This window comes from Homo sapiens, chromosome 17, assembly GCF_000001405.40.
Source record: "Homo sapiens chromosome 17, GRCh38.p14 Primary Assembly".
Classification (NCBI taxonomy): Eukaryota; Metazoa; Chordata; class Mammalia; order Primates; family Hominidae; genus Homo; species Homo sapiens.
The window spans coordinates 82,885,058-82,908,420 of NC_000017.11; the positions used below are offsets into that span (position 1 = coordinate 82,885,058).

Consider the following 23,363-nt stretch of genomic DNA (forward strand, 5'->3'; position numbering starts at 1 on the left):
ATAGCTGGCTTAGTGGGAACCTGTTGAGGGAGCCGTTCACACTCCCTGATACTGTCAGACTTGGGGGCCAGTGGACCAGGTGGAAGGGGTGCTGGGACTGGTGAGGGTTTCCTGTCAGCCCTGCAGTGTGTGGCCCCTGGTGAGTGGGACCAGGCGGAAGGGGTGCTGGGACCGGTGATGGTTTCCTGTCAGCCCTGCAGTGTGTGGCCCCTGGTGAGTGGGGCCGTGCAGGTGCAGTGTTGGTTCTCTCTCTCTCTCAAATGCAGGAGCTCAGATGATACCCTGAAGTCTTTCTAGCTCAAAATGTCTGTCATCTTCTATAGCTTCTGGTGGTCTGCCTGCTCTCTGTATCCTGAAGTAGTTAGAAGTCTTTCTCTGCCTCAGGTCCTTTAAAACTAGAGAGAATTCACCAGGAGAGCTCAGAAGCTCTTCTCTGTCCCTGAAGCTGCTCTTATTTTGTCTTCAGCATCAGTAAAAACCTCATAATTTTTTGGGGAAATCATCACATTTTTGCCCTGCTATTTACCCAAAGGCAGTAAATGTAAGACTTTGAAATATAATACAATTTTATGTTAAATCTGTACTTAAATTAAGCTTTTAGATTTTCTTTACTGCAACCTAAGACATTTCATGGGAAGCAGTAATAAAATTAAAGTACTTAGGCTTCTATGAACCCTGAATATGAAGTGAAATAATATAAATCATTTTTCACATTAAAATCCCTTTAAATTGGCAATAAATCTTTTCTGATAAATACCACCGAGTGCACCTAGCTTACCCTGTAGCTTGCAAAATTAAAACAGCCAAAGGTAAAAGACACCTTTTTGAAGCTTAGTTGGAAATGTGAGGATTGAGGGCCTCATAATTGGGAATCATTTTTTGGAGCTGCTGCTTTCAGATAACAATGTCTCGGTCTTTCTGGCTCAGCTTGGCTTCCTGTTTGACGCTGTGTCACTGGGTGAGGTCACCCCTGTGAGGCCCTGAGGCCTCTTCAGCACCGGCCAGGAGGCAGCAGCAAAAGGCGTTGAAGTCCTGTCCCTCCTTGGGGCTGGACACGGTCCCTTGCCCCTGAACTCTAGACGCCCTGCATTGCCCTGGTGCTCCCATGTCAAGACTGGCCGCGGTCGTCCATCCCATGGTTTGTGACCCTCCCAGCAACGCTGTGAGGAAGGTGCTGCAGCTGGTTCTCAGCATTGGCAGGAGCATGGCGACTCAGGCAGTCAGTGTGTGAGTGAGTTTGTGAAAACAGTTCCAGCTGTGTTCGTTGCTGAATGCTGGTTTTTCTGCATATTGGAAGGAATCTAGCAGACCCCCAAACGTGCTGACATTGCAAGAAGACATGTCTCCCGGCGGGGAAGGAATGGGCAGTAGAGATGGGGTGTGGTCGTGGCTTCTTGTTCATCATGAGGAAGGGAGATGGGGCCCCGTTCACTCACAGTTAAAGTAAAGGCACTTAAAGCCTACATTTAACTGAGAAGATTTTAAATCTTTTTCTTCCAGCATTTCGTTTGATACATAGTGTCTGACCTCTATTTGTGACTTTTTATTTTGGGATAATTGAGATTTATATGCAGTTTTCTCCCCTCCCCTCCCCTCCCCTCCCCTCCCCTCCCCTCCCCTCCCCTCCCCTCCCCTCCCCTCCCACTCTGTCACCCAGGCTGGAGTGCAGTGGTGCGATCTTGGCTTATTGCAACCTCGGCCTCCCGGGTTCAAGCAGTTCTCCTGCCTCAGCCTCCCGAGTAGCTGGGATTACAGGCGTGCACCACCATGCCCGGCTACTTTTTGTATTTTTAGTAGAGACGGGGTTTCACCATGTTGGCCAGGATGGTCTCGAACTCCTGACCTGAAGTGATCTGCCTGCCTCGGCTCCCAAAGTGCTGGGATTACAGACGTGAGCCACTGTGCCTGGCGGAGATTTACATGGAGTTTTAAAGACTAATGCAGGGAGAGCCCATGCGTGTTTCACCATTGCCTCCATGATGAAATCTGGCAAAACCGCAATGGAACATCACAGCCTAGAACATTGAGCCAACCCACCAGTCTTATTCCTTCTTCCTTGGTTTTACCTGTACTCTGTGTGTGTGTGTGTGTGTGTGTGTGTGTGTGTGTGTGCGCGCGCGCGCACGTGCGCTCACGCGTTTACTTCTGTGTGATTGTATCACATACAAATTCACGTATCCACCACCACAATCAGGATACACAGCAGCCCTGTCTTCCCGAGAGGCCTGTGCTACTGCTTTGCCCACAGTCCCTGCTGTTTCCCTCTCCTGACCCTTGGCAGCCACCGGTCGGCTCTCCGTTGCCTATTCTATTCTGTCATCTCGAGAATGCTGTGTAAATGGACTCTGTGGCCTCTAATGCTGTAGCTTTCTTCTCTCGGCACAGCTCTCTGGAGACCCACCCCGAGCGTGGTGGGTGGTGCTGGTTTGCTGCTTCTGTTGCTGAGTGGTGCCGTGGTTTGTGTGACCATTCATGTATTACGACATCAGGATGGTTTCTAGTCTTTAAGCTGCTGTAAACATTCGTGCTCAGGTTTTCGTGTGAGTGTAACTTCCATTTCTCTGGGTTAAATGCCAGGAGTAGTTTCTGGGTCGTGGTAGTTGGACATTTAAACTGCTTTCTAGAGCAGCTGCACCATTCACGTTCGCACCACCACCTGCCCGCAGCCCTGCCTTTCTCTGTCCTCGCTTGTGTCTGACATGGCCACTGTTTTCTGTGTCGGCCTTTTTGACAGGCATGTGGTGATACGTCGTTGTGGTCTTTACCTGCGTTTCTGTCATGCCTGATGGTGTGGAGCATCTTTCACGGGCTTACTTGCCGTCTGTACCTCCTCTTTGGTGAAATGTCTGCTCAGGTCTTTTACTCATTTCTAAGTGGATTGTTTTTTGTAGTTCTTGAGTTTAGGGCACTCTTTACATATGTAGGATTCTGGTCCTCTGTTGGATTTGCGTTTGGCTTTCTCCCAGTCTGTAGCTCATCTTTCCGTCCTCTTCATAGGGCAAGAGTTTTTAATTTTTTAATTTTGCTGGGGTCTCGATCAGTTTTTTGTTTTTGTGGCTCATGTTTTTAGTGCTTTTTAAGACGTGAAGACTTTCTTAAGGTCTGGGAACTCCACCTCGCCCGGTCCCGGGGATGCTGTCCCGTGTTTTCTGTTCTGCTGGTTGGTCTGCGTGTCTGTTCTGCCAGCGCACACTGTGTGACGGGCTGTGCTGCGATGCTGCTGTGCATAGTCAGCCTTCGCACTGGGCAGGGAGATGCCTCCCAGCGTCTTCTTTCTCAGGACTGTTTTCCCTGTTTTAGGGCTTGTGCTTTTCCACATAAATCTTGAATTTTTAAAACATCTTTTAGATACCACTGGAATGGTACATGTCTTCCTAATAGTGTATGTTAAATTGATGTTACAGTATATCTTTGTTGCATTGCCTTTTGGCGGGTTTTGTTTCTTACTTTCCTAATGAATTTATCACAAAAGTTACAAATTTGCAAAGCAGCAGTCAGGCCTCCTCCCAGCCTGCTGTGAAGCGCCTGTTTCCTCCAATCTCCAGCCCAGCCCAGGGGTCTGCCTTGGAGCCACCCGCACGTCTGGTTTCTGTGTGATTGGCCAGAGGTGGTGGGCGCGTCTGCTCCTTTTCCCTGGGGGGTGGGGGCACAGACCCTGGGTGGCTGTGTTCGGCTCCTTACTTGGTGCCCGTCTGTGTGTGCTCCTCCCAGCAGCCATCGCTCAACCTTGCTCTCAGGAAGCCCCCAGGCGAGTGTTGGCAGGAATCCTGCCAGGCGGGAGGTCGCTCCTCCAGAGCGTGGTCCCTGAAGCCGCCAGCCTCCCTGGCCTCGCCCCTTGCTGGTGGTGTGTGTGGTGTGGCCGTGGGTGCACTTTGCTGGGTCTTCCTGGGACACTGAAGTCTCCTGTGTCTCCAGCCCTGAGAACTCGGAGCCCGGGTGCTTTTGGGAAGGACGGGGCACCAGCTGGTGACACATGGGAAGGGAGGTGTGGTTGTCACCTTGCCCAGGTAACCTGCTCTGCCTGGTCGGTGCGCCTAAGGGGGGCAGGGTGTTTGGGGAGGACATGAGAGGCCTCCTGGAAGCACTTCATCCTGTTGAAGTTCACATTTTGACCTTTTCAGCAGCCCTTGCTCTGGGCCTGTGCCCGGCCCTGGGACTCGGCCTGGAGAGCCTATTGACACCGTGCCATGGGTGCGGGCAGGGCGCCCTCCCTGGAGGGCGGCACGTGGTGCCAGTTGGTGACCATGAGCTGCCTCACTCCTGAGGAAGAGTGTTCGGGCTCTGGGCTTTGATTTAACCTGCCTGTCTGTCTCTCTGAGTTGACAGCCGGGGCCTCCGCGTGGGTGCTGCTGGGAGGCTCAGTGGTAAAGGCCACTTTTCAGGATGTGTCTGATTTTATAAACTTGAATTCTTAAATTGTGGTTTTAAAGAGCACCAGGACGTAAAAACAGAGTGACGCACCTTGAGGCTCTGTTCAGCCAACAATGAGGGCTTTTATTTAAAAAATAAAGCCGTGGGTCATTCACGTTGTGCTGTTTGTTCTGAACTTGCCTCTGGTGTTGGCGGAAGCTGACCTCGCTCACCTGCTGTGTTTGTTCTTTGCTCCGCAGGCCGCCTTCCAGGAGAATGTGGGGAGACAGGTATGGCTGCTTTCAAACACCTTTATTCCAAAAACTTCCTGCGGGTTTATAGGTAGGAATCTTGAGAGCTATAACCCTGGTGTCTTCTCGCACTGTGAGATGTGGTGTGGCTACATCAATGCCAGGGTCATGAGTTCACTATAGGACGCACATGTTAAACAGCGAGTCCTGTTTCACAGGGAACCTGCATGTACAGTAATTTACACACACAGGCCGGAAAGCTGTGCTTTACACGTTGCCAAGAGCCACATAATGTGGCTCTGCAGGGTGGGGCGGGTCCCTGGGACCAGCCTGGCCTTGCGGGGACGCAGACCTGACCCCGCCTCATCCCACACAGAGCAGGAGCTGGCTCTGTTGACGTCAGCTTGTGCCTCATCCAGACCATAGACGGGCCCAGAAGTCAGCTCCCAGAAGCTACGGACCCCATGACCCCACGACCCCACATCATGCTGGGGCTGCTTTTGCTGTGCCCTCTGACCCTGACATCTGGTCACTGGTCAGCTTCGCCTGTGAATGGGGGGCCCCAGGTTACTCATGTTGTGTGTGATGACGTCACATCTTGGGCGTGTGGTTGGGTCTTGCAGGAGAGTGGGACAGAGGCCGGAGAGGGGACCGGGGTCTGGGCTGGACCTGGGCGGGGAGCAAAGTTCCCACGAGAAGTCAGCCGAGAAGGCTCTGGAGTTCCCGGACAGCAAAGCAAATGCAGCCGGGGTCTGGGCTGTGGCCAGGTGGTGTGGGGCGGCATGGGGTGGACGTGGGCCTGCGGACCCTTCTGACCTGTGGGGAGCCCTCCAGGCAAGGTGTCTGACCTGGAGTGGAAGCATTGAGGCCAAATGAGTCCACAGGAAAAGCCGGATGCCAGAGTCAGCTGGAGAGGCGGGCGGACGAGGACTTGCGCCTGTTATTGAAATGGTTCTGGAGGAGCCTGGCGTGAGTGGTGTGGGCGGCTTTCTGTAGACGGAGCCCAGGAAGGGGCGTGACTACTTCTTGCTGGCCCGAGGCAGCCGAGGCCCACCCAGCATCCTTGGGGTGCCGTGGGGCCTGCATGTGTTCAGAGCCCTGAGCCCTGGTCGGAGCCAGTTCACTAGGAAGAGACACCAGCCTTGCAAGGGGAGCCTGGGTGTGCAGACAGCAAGAGCCGCCCAGGCCAAGGAGAATGTGAACGAGGTTTGGTCTTTTGAGTGGAGAGTGTGGCTGCTGTGAGGAAGAAGGAGCTTGTTGGAAACCACTTAGCTGAGCCTAGGGACTTGCCAGCTTCCTGGAAAGTGAGAGCCCAGGAGAAGAAGTCTCCCTGTCCCTGGGCTTCCAGCCCCTCCAGAGCCCCCACTGGAGAGGGGCGTGCTGAGGCCAGAGCCCGGGGTGACGACCGTGCTGGGTGGGCCCTGGGGCGCACTCCGCCATCACTCTGTGTTCCGGGTTCCCAGATGCTGCTTCCTGGGAGGAGCAGCCCAGTCGCATAGGGAGCCACGGGGCCCTGCAGCTGAGCTGACCAGCCTCCCTGTGTGTGTGGCTGGATTTGAGCCACGTTACCTTTATCGGGGCAGCTCAGGTTGGGGATTGATTGACAGGGAAAGGAAAGGCCTTTACACTTGGTCTAAATTTAGGCAAGCAGCCAGAAAATGGGATATTCCCGTGGGTGCGGGAGTCTTGCACCTCAGTCCTGAGCCTGAGCAGTGTGAGTCTCAGAGCATCCTGCACAGTGACCAGCATGCGGACGGCAGCGGGAGCCTCGTGGAAGAAGCGGCACAGATTTTGAAGAGACACAGACTTTGAAAGAAATGCAAGACGCGCAGGTGCGGAGCGTCTCCCAGCCCCGCACGGCCATGTCCTGCTGAGGTTGGATAGAAACATTTGAGAAGAAGGTCGAGAACTTGGCAAGGCAAAGCAAACGGGAGTGGACGTGTCGCATAGCACACAGGGAAGCAGCCTAAAAACCCTCGGATTTGGAGGAGGCTGTTTCTAATACACAGATTTGGAATGAAGTTGTAAGAAATGCGTTACAGTGGAGGCCGCTGGGTAACAGCAGCAGGGATGGGGGGTGGTTGGGGAGCGGCCTGGGGGACACAGAGGGGGCTGGGGGCAGAGACGAGGGACCAGCTTCTCTGTCCAGGTTCGTCTTGGCTGGAGTTGGAGACTCTGGTCCTGAGTGGTCTCTGCCTTCTCCCTACTGAGCCCAGGGGCTCTTGAGCAGGTTGTGACTAACCCATGGGCAGCTTCCACGTTCAGGGCCTGTCCGACATTCCAGCCCTATGACCCTGCTCCTAGGCGAGTGCTGTCCAGGCCCCCGACACCATCAGGCCCTTGTGGTGGCCTGTCCACACCCAGGCCCCCCACTTCCCCCCTGCACAGGTGAGGAAGTTGAGGCTCAGGGCAGCTGAGCCCGCTTTTGTCTGCTCGGAGCCTGTTGTTCCAGCCCTAGCCTGGCCAGACAGAGCCTTGGCCCCTGTGTTGGTCTTGCTTTGTTCTCACCGTGGGGGGATGCTGGACACAGAGTCCCCTTGTTCTTGTTCTCGGTGAGACCTGGTCCTGGGCCACCCCGGATGTTTCCCTGGGCTCCTGCCTGCTGTGATGTGGGGCATGGAGTTGTACCCCAGTGGGCGACATCCCAGGTTGTGGCACCTGCTGTCTTTCTGCAGAGTGAGCCGCAACAGCTCCACCTGGGTGCAGGTTTCTCCCCTGTTCACGGTTCAGTGAAGGATGCTCATGCTGTCACTGATTGCAGCAGCCTCAGGCAGAAGTTTATGGTATCTCCATCAGCCCAAGCTCCCAGTGTAACCCTTGGGAGAGATTTGCTGGAAGAAAGCCGCATGGTACCTGCTCATTCCGGCCTCTCCTGGTGGGAAGGAGGGATGTGGCCCCGGGTGTTCTCAGGAGTGCTGGCTGTTCAGTTACGTTGACTTGCGAAGCTATTACATGAAGGTGTGAGGTTTTAATGGTCAAGTGCAGGGTGGTGATGAATGGGTTAAAGACGTCAAGGAAGGATCTGAATCCCGGCCTCGGAGGTGGGCAGGCTTGGGAGACCTTTGAAAAACCCTGCTGTGGTTTATAGCTGTAAGGCTTTCTATGTGGGGTTTAAAGTTTGTCATTTGTATTTTCTTAGGAAATTATTTATGTTGTTTCCAGAATTTCACATCCTGGAACCTGAGAGTGGTATCAGTAACACCATGTAGGCTGCGGGGCTGGAGCTGGGGCTCCACTGGGAGGCTGTCGTGGCGGGGTGGGAGGAGGTGCCGCCTCTCCCATGTCAGAGCCTCGGCGGCTGCTGGTCCTCGATGCTTCTGGGGTCAGCTGTCACCACCCCCAAGAACCGGCTGGGCCAGCTGCCCCCAGTCAACGTCTTGCCTGCCCGGGACTGCTGAGTGAGGCCTGGGCTCTGGTCCAGGCTTTGTAGACCGTGCAGGCGGCTGCATCCCCGACCTGACCCAGGCCTGCTCGCTCTGGTGTGCACCGACCTGCCAGCTTTGTGGCACTTTGTGGCATGGGGCTCAGGCCGATGGAGGTCAGTGGCTGTAACACTGTTGAGACCTGAAGACCGTTTACGGTGTATGTTTTCGGGAAAGGTCTCTTACCACGTACCGAAGTGGAAATGTTTGAGTTGTTTGAAAAAGATGAAATACTTGTGAGTGGTTTCAATGATTTAGCGTGGTGTTGCCTGGGTAGACCGTCAGGAAGTCAGTGTGACGTGGAAGTCCTCGGCGAGCCATGTCTGTGGTGTGTGGCTTGCTCACCACCTGCCTCAGGGCTCGGGGTTCATGAGTGTAAATGTCTGTGGATGTGATTATTGAACTTGGTGAAATGCCTTTGTTCATTCAAATTCTTCTTTTTCCCCCATTTCCACTTTCTTATTAGGGCACTTTCCCTCATGGTATTGATATTTTGACCACAGCTGACTATTTTGCCGTCGGTAACAGATCCAACTGTTTCCTGGTTATAAGGTAAGTCTTTAATGTATATCACAAAAATAGAATACTCTAAAATCAGATTGGATGTCAGAAATCAGCTACCACCATTTTCTTTTTTCATCCTGTAATGTCCACTCAATGGAATGTAGTTTTTGTGTGAAAAATTAAAAATGGAATTGGGAACAGTGACTGAAACTTGTGTTTCATGTTGATTGGACACACCTCATGCTTTACTACGCTAGATAGGGGACATTTACTCACGTGTTAAAGAGGGGCTCAGCTTCAGGAGTGCGGCCTTGCCGTGAGTGCTGTCTCTGCTTATGATTTTTCTCCTGGTCGCCCCGTTTTACCCGTGCTGGTTCTGTGTGGGGCTTGGAGTTTGAGAGGAAGCAGCTGCAAGCACGGCCACACCTCCTCCTGATGCTTCCCTACTGGATGTCCTAAATGCTTTCCCACCGTGAAATCTTGGATTAGAAGGGACTGTTTCTTTCTGTTTCGGTAATAGGAAGTGTTTTGAAGTTGAAGTTATCTGTAGATTGTCTATGAAATGAGTAAGAGGTATTTTAGAAATCAGGTTAGAAACAAATGTTTAGCACCTCTAATTGCAGTTTACAGAATTATATCAAACTGTTTTAGTTGTGTAATTAGGTACTGGGGAGGTTACTTCAGTTATCTTAGTTGATCCATTGCAGCAGAAATGTGAAAAAGGGTGTGACTTTATTTATTTATTTTTGGAGACAGAATCTAGCTCTGTTGCCCAGGCTGGAGTGCAGTGGGGTGTGACTTTATGAAGTGATTTATTTGCCTTAAATTAGGACCAGAAGCATGCCCGATGCATTTTTAACATTAACCATTAAATACCCTAAAGATCGATTCCCCAACAGCCCTGCTGTGTAGACCGTGCAGAAAGGACGTTTCTCCGTCACCAGCCTGGGCAGAATTTTGAAAATGTAGCATTTGGCCTCTTTCCCAGGAAGGATCTTTGAACACACTTATCTGTATTTTTATACCCTTTCAGGTTTCCTCAACATTTAATGTCCTTTTTTGCCTTATCAGTTCTTTCCTATTAATACTTGGCCATATATTTTATGTGGAAAATCTACTGGCCCGATGCAGTGGCTCATGCCTGTAATCCCAGCACTCTGGGAGGCCAAGACGGGCAGATCACCTGAGGTCAGGAGTTGGAGACCAGCCTGGTGAAACCCCGTGAATACTAAAAATACAAAAATTAGCCAGGCGTGGTGGCGGGTGCCTGTAATCCCAGCTACTCAGGAGGCTGAGGCAGGAGAATCACTTGAGCCCGGGAAGCGGAGGCTGCAGTGAGCCGAGATCGTGCCACTGCACTCCAGCCTGGGTGACAGAGTGAGACTCCATCTAAAGAAAAAGACAATCTACCACCTTTTCCCGAGTTTCCTGAGTAACACACCTGACAGCTATGGGAAGCTTCAGCATATTTCCCTTGTTGCTGAGGTTTCTAAGCCAGCCTAAAACTCGCATGTAATTAGCTGTGTGCGTTTTATAAAAACATTTGCCAACCCAAGACCTGGGTCCAGGCATGTCTTCCCCCAGTGTGTTTGGCTTCCTCACGATGCCAGGCCCTGCGTGCAGACCAGATGCCACTTGTGAGGACGCACCGGCAGGCAGGCCCCTCCAATCCTGAGGGCGGCATCACGGGGACCTGCAGTCATGGCTGCACCCTAGTACCGCGGGGCCCCCCTGCACCCGAGGCAGGGTCCTGCTGTCAGCCTGGACCTTGGGGTGAGGGAGGCAGTGGTCCTGTTCAGCAGAGGGCATGGGACTGAGCACAGCCCATCAGGGAGGAGAGTTAGCAGGGCCCTGGGCCCTGGCGGGGAGCTGCTGGGGGCCTTTGAGCCATAGTGAAGAGTGTGGATTGTCCTGAGGTCATGGCACTTTGATGGTCAGGTCTTTGTTTTGAACATATCCCTGTGGCTGTATTTGGTGACTGGAAATAAGGAGAGGGCTTGAGGGCTCTTGGGAGACGGGAGAGGGCTGGGGGCCTGGAGGTGTGCCCGCTGGAGGAAGGTGGGAGTTGCCAGGGCATTACAGAGGGTCTCAGAGCTGTGTTGGCATCACTCCGCAGGTGGAGGGCACAGCTGAGGGCGACAGTGTCGTTGAGTGCGAGGAGGTTGGGGCCTCAGCTTGCACGTGCTGGCCTGCGAGGAAGCATCAGCCGTGCTGACATGGAGATGTTTCCTCTGCAAATTGGAGTTTCGGACACACAGACTGGAATTGAACTAACGGGCACCCCAGGAAGACTGTGGGGCGAGACGAGGAGGATGGGGGGACCAGCCGTCGCCCCACTCTCCTGTTCATCATCACAGCCTCGTTGGGGTGTAAACGACCCCCAGTAAGCTGGTGCATGTTCAATAGGTACATTTTTGTAAATGTTAACATCTGTAAATTCGTACCTATCACCACAATCAAGACGAGAAAAGGCCCAGGTTTCCCCTTTCCCATTCGGGGTCCCTCCCCTCCCACACCCCCTTCTTCAGGCACCCCTGGTCTGTTGCTCTCACTGCAGCTGTGTCTGCATTTCCCAAAGCTCTGTGTGAATGGGTTCAGGCAGTGGGCACTCTCCTCACTCACACTGGCTTCCTCTGCTCCATGCTTCCTGCAGACTGTCCGCCTGTGGGGACCGTCCCCCGAGCCTCCAGGGCCAGGGGTGTGGTACGTGGCGTCTGTCTCCACTCACCTGGTGAGGGGCTTCTGGGCAGTGTCTTGTCTGGGTTGTCACAGGTGCAGCTGCGGTGAACATGTGTGTACACATCTGTCTTTGGGCCTGCACTCTTGTTCTCTGGCATAGATGCCCAGAGCTGGGTGGCTGTGCTGTCAGTTTTTTTTTTTTTTTTTTTTTTTTCCTTTTGAGACAGAGCCTTGCTCTGTCACCCAGGCTGGAGTGTGGTGGCGCAATCGCGGCTCCCTGCAGCCTCGACCTCTTGAGTTCAAGCGATCCTCCCACCTCAGCCTCCCGAGTAGCTGGGACTACAGGCACACGCCACCACGCCCGGCTAATTTTTGTATTTTTCTGTGGAGATGACAAATCATGTTGCCCAGGGTGGTCTTGAACCCCTGGTCTCAAGTGATCCACCTGCCTTGGCCTCCCAAAATGCTGGCCTTGCAGGTGTGAGCCACCACACCCTGCCTGTAGCTTTTTCTGAAATGGCCACATGGCTTTCGGCGTGATGGTGCCACGCGCCCCCGGTGCTGGATGAGCTCGGGGTCCGGGATCTGGGGTCCTTGCCGGCGCTGGGGGTGTTGGTCTTTCAAGCTCGGGGTCCGGGATCTGGGGTCCGTGCTGGTGCTGGGGTGTTGGTCTTTCAAGCTTGGCCATTGTCATGGGGGTGTGGGAGCAGCTGACTAACTCGTGTTCTAGTGACTGATGATGCAGTTTCAGTCATCATCCATTTCAGGGGCGTGTTTAACACATCTTTCGCCCATTTACTTATTAGGTTAGTCGTTTTCTTCCTGTTGAGAATTTGAGAATTCTTCATGAATTCTGCATACAATTCCTTTTTCAGATGCTTCCTTGCTACATATTTCCTCCTGCTCCGTGGCTTTCCCTTTCAGTATCCTGTATATTCCTAAGTCAAAGCCTTTTTAAAAAAAAATCAGCTTTGGGCCGGGTGCGGTGGCTCACACCTGTAATGCCAGCACTTTGGGAGACCCAGGCAGGCAGATCACGAGGTCAAGAGATCGAGACCATCCTGGCCAACATGGTGAAACCCCGTCTCTACCAAAAATGCAAAAATTAGTCGGGCATGGTGGCGCACCCCTGTAATCCCAGCTACTCGGGAGGCTGAGGCAGGAGAATCACTTGATCCCGGGAGGCGGAGGTTACAGTGAGCCGAAATCGCGCCACTGCACTCCAGCCTGGGCAGCAGAATGAGACTCCGTCTCAAAAAAAAAAAAAAAAATCAGCTTTATCTTTGTACATCTACTTTATTACATATAGTTTACATATAGTAAAATTGCCAGTTTTCAATATGGGTTTAAGTGTGGCAGCGGGTTTGGCAGATGTGAGCTGTTGAATGACCACCACTGTGGTCAGTGTGGTGCACATGACCCTCCCTCCAGGAGGCGCCATCCTGACTGACCTCCTGTCGCTGGGGCTCCCCCGTTTTAGAATCCGTGCAGGTAGCTTCCTTCATCTGCTGCCTGCCTCATCAGCTGCCTGTGTTTCAGGGTTCCTCAGTGGTTCTCACTGTGTGGACGCCCCACATTTGAGGGGCTTTGAGCCCCCGTGGGTTTTGATGTGAGCACACGGCACAGCTCTGTTCTCCCCGGCTGGTTTTCTGTTGGAGTGAGCATTGAGCCCCCGTGGGTTTTGGTGTGAGCACACGTCACGGCTCTGTTCTCCCCGATGGTTTTCTGTTTTTCATGAGCATTGAGCCCCTGTGGGTTTTGGTGTGAGCACACGGCATGGCTCTGGGTTTTGGTGTGAGCACATGGCATGGCTCTGGGTTTTGGTGTGAGCACACGGCATGGCTCTGTTCTCCCCGGCTGGTTTTCTGGTTTTCGTGAGCATTGAGCCCCCGTGGGTTTTGGTGGGAGCACACGGCACGGCTCTGGGTTTTGGTGGGAGCACACGGCACGGCTCTGGGTTTTGGTGGGAGCACACGGCACGGCTCTGGGTTTTGGTGGGAGCACACGGCACGGCTCTGGGTTTTGGTGGGAGCACACGGCACGGCTCTGGGTTTTGGTGGGAGCACACGGCACGGCTCTGGGTTTTGGTGGGAGCACACGGCACGGCTCTGGGTTTTGGTGGGAGCACACGGCTGCTTCCCACAGCTCTGCTGCAGACCCTGGGGCTTGGGCCGTTGGACAGCTGAGCAGAGGCTTCGTTTTCTTTTCCTATGTGCAGGAGGCTGAACACCGCTTCAAGTGGTTGAAGTGTGTGTGTATTTTCTGTAAACTTTTTGATGATATTTCTGCTACACTATTTTTTTTTTATTGATTCAGAAGAACTGGTTTATTTTAGGGAAGCCTCCTGTTGGTAAGATCAGTTGCGGTTGTTTTTTCAGATTTGTTGTTTGACTTTTGACTTTGTTTTTGGTGTTTTCCTGGTAGACTTTGTTCGGCATATGTGTTGGTAGGGATCGATTTCTTCTGTGGCTCTGGGTTTCGAGTCATAATTAGAAAGGCATATCCTACTTAGAGATTATTGTTTAAAAGTCTTCCGTGTTGTTTTCACAAGATGTAACTTTTATTTTTGAGACATAATTTACACGCTTTCAGCTGCCCCTGTATGGAGTGGACGGTTGTGGAGGGGCTGACAGTGTGTCCACCTGCGTCACCTGCATCTTCCTTGGGAGTGGAGCTCCCACCACTTCCACGGCCAACACTCCTTCCCCCCAGCCTGTGTGCTGCTGCCCTGCCCTCGACGCGGAGCAGGGCTGCCCCTCGGGGAAGGTCGTATCCATGGAACCAGAGGGAACACACTCCTGTGTGTCAGGTTCTTTGCTCAGCGTAGTGCGCCTGGGGACCGTCCGCAGCGCGTGTGTCCTCAGTGCATGTGTCCTCCGCTAGTGTCCTCAGCGTGTCCGCAGTGCGCGCGTCCTCGGCTCGTGTCCTCAGCGCGTGTCCGCAGTGCGTCCTCAGCATGTGTCCTCAGCGCATGTCCTCAGCGCACGTGTCCTCAGCGTGCGTGTCCTCAGCGCGTGTGTCCTCAGTGCGTGTGTCCTCCGCTCACGTGTCCTCAGCGCGCGCGTCCTCAGCTCGTGTCCTCAGTGCGTGTCCGCAGTGCGTCCTCAGCGCACGTGTCCTCAGCACGCGTGTCCTCAGCTGCTTTTCGTTGGTGAGTCTTTGCTCAGCATCGTGCGCCTGGGGCCCGTCCTCAGCGTGTGTGTCCGCAGCGCGTGTGTCTGCACCTCCTTTTGGTTGGTGAGTTGTGTGCACTGTTCTGTGGCTATACAATTTTTCTGTGAGTTTGCCTGACATTTAGGTTATTTTGAATTTTTGGCTCTGATGAATAAAGCAGTTGTATATATTTATTTAGAAATCATCTTCATGTGGATGTGTATTTTCATTTCTTTCAGATAAAGAGTTAGAATTTTTATATATTTAACTTTATGAGAAACTGCCAAACTGTTTTGCAAAGTGGCTGTATAATCTTGTACTTTCACCAGAACGTATGCAGCCTCTGGTTTTCCCACATCTGTGCCAACGCTTGGTATTTACCAGTCTTTTAAAATTTACCCATTCGAGTGGGGGTAACGATTTAACAATTAGCATTCCTGGCTGAATACTGATGTTGGACATCTTTTCATGTGTTTATTGGCCTTTTATTTATTTTCTTTTGTGATGTTTATGTACAAATTTTGTATCAATTTTTTGTTTGGGGTTTATCTTTATATATTCTGTTACAAGTCGGTTTGCCTTTTGATTTTCTTAAAAGTTTTTAACAGCTTTGCCGAGGTATAATGGGCATATGTTAGCTGTATATGGAGTGCAGGGCTTTACTGAAGTGCAGCTGGCACACACTAACCAGAGCGCACAGCTTCCTGTGTGTGACGGAGGCCTGAGCACAGCCATCACCCTGGAGCCCCCCCATGTCTGCTCCTTGTAATTCCCGCCTCGGTCCTCCCCCACCCTGAGGCCCCTGATCTGCCTCTGTGGGTGTAGATGAGTTTTTTGCACGTCCTTGAATTTTGTGTGAATGAAACAAAGCTGTGTGCACTCATTTTGTCAGTCTTCTTTGGCTTAGGGTAGTTGAGATTCAGATTGTGTGTGTTGTTGCTGAGTATTCGATTGTGTGGATCAACCACGGTTTGTTTTCCCCGTGGATGATGTCAGGGTGGTTTCCAGATTTCGCCGTTACACATGAAGCTGTGTGCACGTTTGTGTAAAGCCCGTGTGTGCACAGATGCTCTTTTCTTTTGGGTAACTGCTCAGGAGGGAATGGCTGGATCACGTGGTAGATTTGAAGAAATGGGCAAACTGGTTTTGAAAGTAACTGTGCTGAATTCCCACCCACAGGCAGTGAGTTCTCGTTCTTCCGCGTCTCACCACCTCTCCATGCTGTCTTTTCCAGTGTGTTTATTGCCGGCTTTCCTGAGTACACGCAGCCAATGATAGACCACCTGGTTACCATGAAGATCAGCCACTGGGATGGGTAGGTTTTCTGTTTTTGTTTTTCTAAGAGCTTTTTTTCCCCCCAAAGGAGAGATTCAGTTGAGCTTATAAGCCTTGAGTGTATTTTCTCACTGTGGATGTCGTATTTTAAAATAACTTCTGAGAAGTAATATGAATTCCAGTCTTCATGCCGGATGTGTTGAGTCATGGTCTGTCTCCAGTTCCACTTCTGGAGCGCCTGGTCCAGTGTGTCCGACGTGGCGGTGTACCCGTGCAAATGTCCACGCTGGCGTGTTGTGGAGTGCCGCTGCCGTCCGAGGGGGCGCGGGCGTAGCTTGGAGGCGGACTCTGCGTTGTCTCCCTCAGCAGTGCTTCCCGCTGACTCTGCTCCATGTGGCTCCACAGGTGGTTTCTGCGCTGTCTCCTGGGAGCCCAGCAGTTCTTAGTGGCCGTTTTCATCATTACAGTAGCAGCTTCAGGGTTTCCTTGCATTTCATAGGCAGTTAAATGTGTCTCAGAAAGGAAAAGTGAAGTGCGGTCTGGAGCATAAACAGCGCGTTAGTGCTGTGACCGCCGCCCTGAGGAGGTCAGAGGGTCCCCTCCTAGGACAGTGCCGTGCTGTGGCACTCCTCACGGAGCCTCGAGGAGCGGTAGGTGCCTGTGGGTGGAGGTGGCTTTGTGAGGGTGCGAGTCCAGAATCTCAGTTTCAGAGTTGGTGTGATGTGGAGGGGGTCCTTTCTGATCCATGGGGGATGCGTTTGCTGCTGCCTGGGGAGCGGCCCGGCTGCCTGCCGTGGTCCTGCTGCCTGGGGAGCGGCCCGGCTGCCTACTGTGGTCCTGCTGCCTACTATTGGTCCTGCTTCCTGGGGAGCGGCCCGGCTACCTGCGGTGGTCCTGCTGCCTGGGGAGCGGCCCAGCTGCCTACTGTGGTCCTGCTTCCTGGGGAGCGGCCCGGCTACCTGCCGTGGTCCTGCTGCCTGGGGAGCGGCCCGGCTGCCTACTGTGGTCCAGGCAGGGCCCTCAGGACTGGGAGCCTCTGGGAAAGGAACTCCTGGGTAGCACTCGGGCTGCCGGGGGAAGACCCTCCCTTCATTCGCTTACAGAGAGGGGTGTGAATTCCTGAGACTCGGGGTGTCCCTGCAAATGTTACACCAAAACTCTCTCCATTAGGTACAAGGTCCCCTAAACCGAACCTAGGGAAAATTAATTAATTTGTCAGTTGTATCAGCCGATTAGTCAATAACGTCTTTAAAACCAAAGTTACAGATATATGCCCGTAGCGTCGGAGCTGTGGGACTCTCCAGCTGGTACATATGCCCGTGGCGTCGGAGCTGTGGGACTCTCCAGCTGTTGCTGTCTGTCTCTGCCTCAGTTCTGTCGGCCTTTCCTTCACGTGTTTTGGGCGGGGTCACTTATTGGAGGCAGATACACTTTCGCTTTTTGTCTCTTCCTAATGTATTGACCCTTTATCTTTGCGGAACGGCCCTCATTGTCTCGTGTGAGATTTCTTGCCTTAAAGTAACTGATGACTGGTGTAGTACCTGAGTTGGCAAGCCTTTTCTTTGAGGGGCTGGATAAACGTGGTAGATCTCTGTTCCATACGCTTTGCTTTAGTTTATTTTATTTAGTTTATGTAACCCTTGAAAAATGTGAAAACCATTCTTAGCTGAGGGCCGTCCTTACGCGAAGAGGCCTCGGGCTGGGCTTGCGGCTGCAGACTGCATTGCCTCCGCTTCTCAGGTGCTTTGTCTTTTCTGTTCCCTCAGAGTTGCAGGCGATGGTCTTCTAGACAGCATGCAGTTGGGTGTCGCTCAGGGTGTGGAGTCCTGGCACATGAGACGCCACCTGCCTCGAAGAGCTCTTTGTTTACCGTTAGAAGTGGACCCTGAGCAGGGCCCTCGGCCGACACCAGAGGGGCTGTGGCAGGTGGTCCTGCCAGCGCGGGCGTCTGCCATTGTGCCTGGTTTCACTGTGGTGCTGTGGGTTTGGTGTTTTTAAATAATTAGAGGACAGACACCCGCCTTCTGCATGTTTTCACCTTCACATTTTGCTTCTTTGTTGTTACATGGTCGCCCTCATGATGATTTTAAGTCAGGACCACTTGCTGCTCCAGCTGGGTCTGGAGGGGCTGGGGCATGAGCTCTGCGGGTCGCTCCCAGCTTGACCATCTGCCTCTGCATGGAGCTCTGGAAGGAGGGGTGGGCTCAGGAGGGGCTCCAGCCTCTTGAGCCGGTCCTGGGTCAGCCTTTCGCGGTCCGCATGTTCAACCATGGGTGCTTTCAGTGTGTGTCTGATGAGGCAGTTATTGGATATGTGCCCCAGATTTGGTGGGTGAGCCTCAGGAAATTCCTTCTGTTCACCCCTTGTAATCGTGGAGGGGTGGTTTCACGTGGCTCTATCTCACACTCACAACCTCAGAGTAGCGTGGGGGTGGGGAGGCCGGACACCCAATTGCCACCTGGCCCTGAGAAGGAAAGGCAGCTGTGTCCCAAGAAGAACCGTGGTTAGCCGTGTGACCTCGCTGTTGTAGACTGTCCTTGTCGTCTGTTGGAGTCGGAGGTTCTTGTACTGGTTCGTGTGAGTGAGTGAGTGAGCCTCTGCTAAGTGGCCGGTTGAGGACTCGTGTGTTGTCTCCCTCACTTTCTTTTTATGAATTGAATAAAGCTAGAATCATAAAATGAAGGCACTTACGACATTCTCTCCTCACTCTCAGGGTCATCCGAGAGTTGGCTGCGAGGGCGCTGCACAACCTGGCCCAGCAGGCACCCGAGTTCAGCGCCACGCAAGGTGGGTGTGTGTCCCGGCCGGCCTGCGGGCACCATGCATGCACTGCAGAAAGGCCTGGGTTGCTGGTTTCAAAGGCTGGGGGCTGAAAATAAGGTTGTGCTTCTGTCTTGGTGAGAAGCATCTGAGGAAAGAGCTGTGGACTTGATCAGTGGATAGGCTGTGAGGACGGATGCGGTGAGTGTGTCCGCCTGCAGGGCAGGGAGCCGCTGAACTGTGTTACGTACACCGGAGCCCGTGATGGTCCCGCCGGATGCCTGACATGCAGTGCTGCTTCCCTGGTCTCTAGGTGGCTCGCACCTGCCACACGACACTCCCTGGTCTCTAGGTGGCTCGCACCTGCCACACGACACTCCCTGGTCTCTAGGTGGCTCGCACCTGCCACACGACACTCCCTGGTCTCTAGGTGGCTCGCACCTGCCACACGACACTCCCTGGTCTCTAGGTGGCTCGCACCTGCCACACGACACTCCCTGGTCTCTAGGTGGCTCGCACCTGCCACACGACACTCCCTGGTCTCTAGGTGGCTCGCACCTGCCACACGACACTCCCTGGTCTCTAGGTGGCTCGCACCTGCCACACGACACTCCCTGGTCTCTAGGTGGCTCGCACCTGCCACACGACACTCCCTGGTCTCTGGTTGGCATGCACCTGCCACACGACACTCCTTGGTCTCTAGGTGGCTTCCATCTGCCACACGACACTCCCTGGTCTCTGGTTGGCATGCACCTGCCACACGACACTCCTTGGTCTCTAGGTGGCTTGCACCTGCCACATGACACTCCTTGGTCTCTAGGTGGCTTCCATCTGCCACACGACACTCCCTGGTCTCTAGGTGGCTTGCACCTGCCACACGACACTCCTTGGTCTCTAGGTGGCTTCCATCTGCCACACGACGCTCCCTGGTCTCTAGGTGGCTTGCACCTGCCACACGTGAATGCACTTTGGAATTGGGCAGCGTGTATAGAAAGAAAAGGCCTGAATGGGAGACTCAAAGTCTGCCCAGGACTAACATCACCTTGGAATGGCTCAGCTAAGTCTGCACTTCTTACACTTCATCAGTGAAGAGAGAAATCCTGTTTGTTCTGTCTTGTTTTTTTCTACTTGGAATAAATAATCATCTGACTTAAATGTGGGGAAGAATACACACATTTCTCAATGTGTGTACCGTCACTCCCCCGACATTTATTACAGGGGCTACACTGGAGGCTGGATTGTGGCTCTTCAGTGGAGTTACTGATGTGACGCCTGTGTTGAACATCCTGTGGGGGCTCGTTCATTCCTAAGGGATCTTTCAGCTTCGTGATCTGTTAATGAGGCATCCACGTCACGGGTTTAGTGTGGCGCTCCCCTACTTTTCAGTGATAATTAACCCTTGCTGACACTGAGGGGGCTCAGCTTTGTCCTCCACCCGGTTGAAGAGCACGGACACCCAGAACAGGACTGTGACCTTTTGTAGATTTCTCTGATTCTCGAAAATCCGATCACCCCCAGCCGCCACATCTTAGCCTCTCTGATTCTCAAACCATCGCAAGCCTGGCAGCACTTGGGGAGGCTTAGGCTCGGGGAGCTTGGTTTCCCCACGCAGGTGTGGCAGAGCCGCCTCCCTCTGCGTCCGTGAGGGTTCTGAGGAGTCTGTGCTTTCTGAGCAAACTCAGAGTAGAGGCACCACCCCTGGGGGCAGCCCTGCCTCTGTCCTGCTCCGCCCCCTCCACCGCCCAGGCAGCCAGGCAGAGCTCCTGCCAGGACCAGAGGCCACCCTACACCGACAGGGAAGGCCTGGGGAGTGTGTCGTCCTCCTCCATGCTCCCTCTCCTGTCTGAGTTACCCACCCCGTCTGGGGCACTTGGGAGCGGGCCATGTCCAGCACACCGCAGCCTCCGTCCTGTTGCCCTTGGTGTCTCAGGGGCCATCTGCATCACCACGGGTGCCGTCCTGGGCACTGGGGTGATGACCCTGAGGGATGCCAGTGTGGGCGGGTGCGTGTGGGCGTCCCACAGGTCGTCCGTGTGTGCACGCCGTCGCCTGCCCTCCCGGCCCTGTGTGGGTGCGTGTGGGCTTCCCACAGGTCGTCCGTGTGTGCACGCCGTCACCTGCCCTCCCGGCCCTGTGTGGGTGCGTGTGGGCTTCCCACAGGTCGTCCGTGTGTGCACGCCGTCGCCTGCCCTCCCGGCCCTGTGTGGGTGCGTGTGGGCTTCCCACAGGTCGTCCGTGTGTGCACGCCGTCGCCTGCCCTCCCGGCCCTGTGTGGGTGCGTGTGGGCTTCCCACAGGTCGTCCGTGTGTGCACGCCGTCGCCTGCCCTCCCGGCCCTGTGTGGGTGCGTGTGGGCTTCCCACAGGCCGTCCGTGTGTGCACGCCGTCGCCTGCCCTCCCGGCCCTGTGTGGGTGCGTGTGGGCTTCCCACAGGCCGTCCACATGTACACACCCTCACCTGCCCTCTCGGCCCTGTCTCTTGCAGTCTTCCCGAGGCTGCTGTCCATGACACTGAGTCCAGATCTTCACATGAGGCATGGGTCGATTCTCGCCTGCGCAGAAGTTGCTTACGCCTTGTACAAACTTGCAGCCCAAGAGAACAGGTAGGAAGAGTGGGTCTCGAGGAGACACAGGGCTCTGTCCCTGATCCCCTCACCATGTAATCACAGTGCTCTCCAGTTCGAGACTCTCTCATCCCTTCTCATTTTTGTTTATCTGCACCAGTGTCACAGTCGATAGGCCCCAGGTTGTATTGATGGAGTGTGTAAGTGGCCCTCTCTCCTGACGGTCATGCCGTGGGTGGACCACCCACCTCTTCAGCGGGGCGGGTGCAGCACCCGGATGGGCCGGGCATCTCCCCACGGCTGTCCTGCCCCTGCTGCCTCCTTGTGCACCTCCTGGTCTCAGAGGTGACAAGCGAGGTCATAACAGCAAAGGTCCTTTTTCCAAGACGGCATTGAGCGACTTGCATGTTCAGTATCCTTTCTTCATCACGTTCCATAGTTTAAAATGCCAGAGAATATACACGTTTCTTTTGAATTTTTCAGTTGGCTATGTTTGTACAAATAATAATAAAGCATGAAAAACATGGGGTCACTGGGAAGTTGTGTGCAGGAGGCTGTAAGGCATCGACTGTCGTCTTACGTTTCTTCCCAGTCGAGTCTTCCTCAAGAGTAAGAACTCCCGGACTTACCATAGTGACGGCAACCTGCTTCTCGGACTCCAGTTTAAGAAACGTTTTTAAGTTCATGCCCTGTGCTGGAGACAGTTCCCTGGGAACGGGTTGAGAGCAGGGTATGGGCCCACCTCCCGCCCAAGCCTGAGGAAGCTCTGGTCGGCCCCGAGCTCAGATGCAGAGTGCAGCTCCTTCAGGGACGCTCGCTCGTGTGGGTGCAGCTGATGCCCGTGCAAGACCTGGCCTTTATGGCGCTGCTCTGTGGTTGTGGAAGAAGGCACATGGGGTGGGGTCTGGGGAGAACCAGGCGGGAGCTCCCAGGGTCCTCCAGTCGGGTCCCACAGGGCCTGTGTCATTCCCCCAGCAGTGAGATGTGACCACACCTGTGAGGTGTCTATCAGGGAAGCACATTTGAGCCTCAGTGCCCAGGCTAGACTGGGGTCTGGCCACGTGGGCACCTCCGCCTGGCACGAAACAAAATTCCAGACCCCCAGCAGGAAAGCAGGTGCCAGCGTAAAGCACACGGTTTGCGCAGATTGAGCCAGTGAGGGGGCCTCATGAGGCAGGGCTTGGTCCAGGCCCCCGCATGCCAGCCCAGGTCTGATCTCGCCAGGGACCTTCCCTTGGATGTCAGTGGACATGAGCTGTCGTCTCAGCCTCACCTGGACCTGTCTGTTTTCCAAGGTGGTCACATTGGCAGGGGTCACAGCTTTAAGGGGATGCCCTAACATCCTCTTCCTTTGACCAGGCACTGCTTCATCTAAAATCACAAATGGGCCAGGCATAGTGGCTCACGCCTGTAATCCCAGCTATTTAGGAGGCGGAGGTGGGGGGATTGTTAGGGCCCAGGAGTTTGAGACCAGCCTGGGCAACATAGTGAGACCCCATCTCTAAAATAACAAAAGAATGCAATGTAAAACAATACAGTAGAATACAAAAATAATCGGAGGTATGTCCTGCAGAGGTCTCTGGGACCCACTGGGACCTGAACAAGAATGAGACCTTGCTGAGCCTATGCTCCTCCGAGTGTACTTGGGGTTAGGGTCTTGGGGAGTGTGGCCTCAGCTCCTCCGAGTGTACTCGGGGTTAGGGTCTTGGGGAGTGTGACTTCAGCTCTGTGTTTGAACTTCTGCAGGCCCGTCACGGACCATCTGGACGAGCAGGCAGTGCAGGGCCTGAAGCAGATTCACCAGCAGGTTTGTGTGCAGCCTCTGGGTGTACCCTCAGGAGGCATCACAGGACCTGCCCCCTTAGGGCCTCCCACCCTCCCCAGGCAGGGTCTGCAGTCCTGGTGGCCACTGTGCTCCATCAGTCCTGGGCTCAGTGGGGGACCTGCGGTGTGATCACTCTGGGAACAGGCTCTCTGCTGGCGTCATGCTTGTGAACAGCCACCTTGGAGGGTTGCCCTGGGAGGGGAAGAGACTCCTAGGAAATGAGTGCAGACTTTCTGTGCACGTAGCCAGCATGTCCTTGGTCTCTGAGGAAGGCTTATGAAGCTAGTGCAGTCGGTGGAGGTTTCGGCTGCAGCTGGAGTGTGGTTTCCCTCCGGGGCGCGCGGCTGCGGTCCCACGATGGAGCGTGCAGCCAACTCTGGGTGGGGGCATTGGGCCCCGTGCTCTCCTGGTGGAGTTGGGGGCACACAGAACGAGCACAGAAGCCTCTGGTTTCCAGCCGTGCATCTGCAGCTGGGGTCTGATGTCTCCTGAAAGTAAAGCAGAATTTTGTGTGTGCGTCTGTCGGATTTCTCTGGGGAGACAGTGTGTTCATCTTTCTGGGCTTTGAGAGATTCTCAAAG

General features: G+C 54.0%; 1 protein-coding gene across 36 annotated transcripts in view, besides 3 other annotated features; it reads left to right on the forward strand.

Annotated features, from left to right (window-relative positions):
• The window catches only part of TBCD (tubulin folding cofactor D), a 193,850-nt gene that overhangs the window by 132,993 nt on the left and 37,494 nt on the right, over positions 1 to 23,363 (forward strand). For 24 of the 36 annotated variants that reach the window (NM_005993.5, NM_001411101.1, XM_047436617.1 and 21 more), the window contains 6 exons: positions 4,611 to 4,640; positions 8,490 to 8,575; positions 15,594 to 15,674; positions 18,348 to 18,421; positions 20,879 to 20,996; positions 22,704 to 22,764. In NM_005993.5, coding sequence (NP_005984.3) covers positions 4,611 to 4,640; positions 8,490 to 8,575; positions 15,594 to 15,674; positions 18,348 to 18,421; positions 20,879 to 20,996; positions 22,704 to 22,764 — 450 coding nt within the window. Of the gene's footprint in view, positions 1 to 4,610; positions 4,641 to 6,296; positions 6,657 to 8,055; positions 8,140 to 8,489; positions 8,576 to 10,907; positions 10,934 to 15,593; positions 15,675 to 18,347; positions 18,422 to 20,878; positions 20,997 to 22,703; positions 22,765 to 23,363 lie in introns of those variants that run through there. The other 12 variants (NM_001411102.1, XM_047436615.1, XM_047436622.1 and 9 more) reach the window with 6 other exon arrangements.
• Positions 24 to 822: an enhancer, noted in NCBI's record as "H3K4me1 hESC enhancer chr17:80842957-80843755 (GRCh37/hg19 assembly coordinates)". NCBI's record gives its function as "activates a minimal SCP1, AML or CMV promoter by ChIP-STARR-seq in naive H9 embryonic stem cells {active_cell/tissue: H9 hESC(naive)}" and the evidence as "EXISTENCE:reporter gene assay evidence [ECO:0000049][PMID:30033119]".
• Positions 10,746 to 11,005: a silencer, noted in NCBI's record as "fragment chr17:80853679-80853938 (GRCh37/hg19 assembly coordinates)". NCBI's record gives its function as "represses an EF-1alpha promoter that drives an FKBP-Casp9 reporter gene in an ReSE screen in phorbol 12-myristate 13-acetate-treated (for megakaryocytic differentiation) K562 erythroleukemia cells {active_cell/tissue: K562(+PMA)}" and the evidence as "EXISTENCE:reporter gene assay evidence [ECO:0000049][PMID:32094911]".
• Positions 13,710 to 14,211: an enhancer, noted in NCBI's record as "H3K27ac-H3K4me1 hESC enhancer chr17:80856643-80857144 (GRCh37/hg19 assembly coordinates)". NCBI's record gives its function as "activates a minimal SCP1, AML or CMV promoter by ChIP-STARR-seq in primed H9 embryonic stem cells {active_cell/tissue: H9 hESC(primed)}" and the evidence as "EXISTENCE:reporter gene assay evidence [ECO:0000049][PMID:30033119]".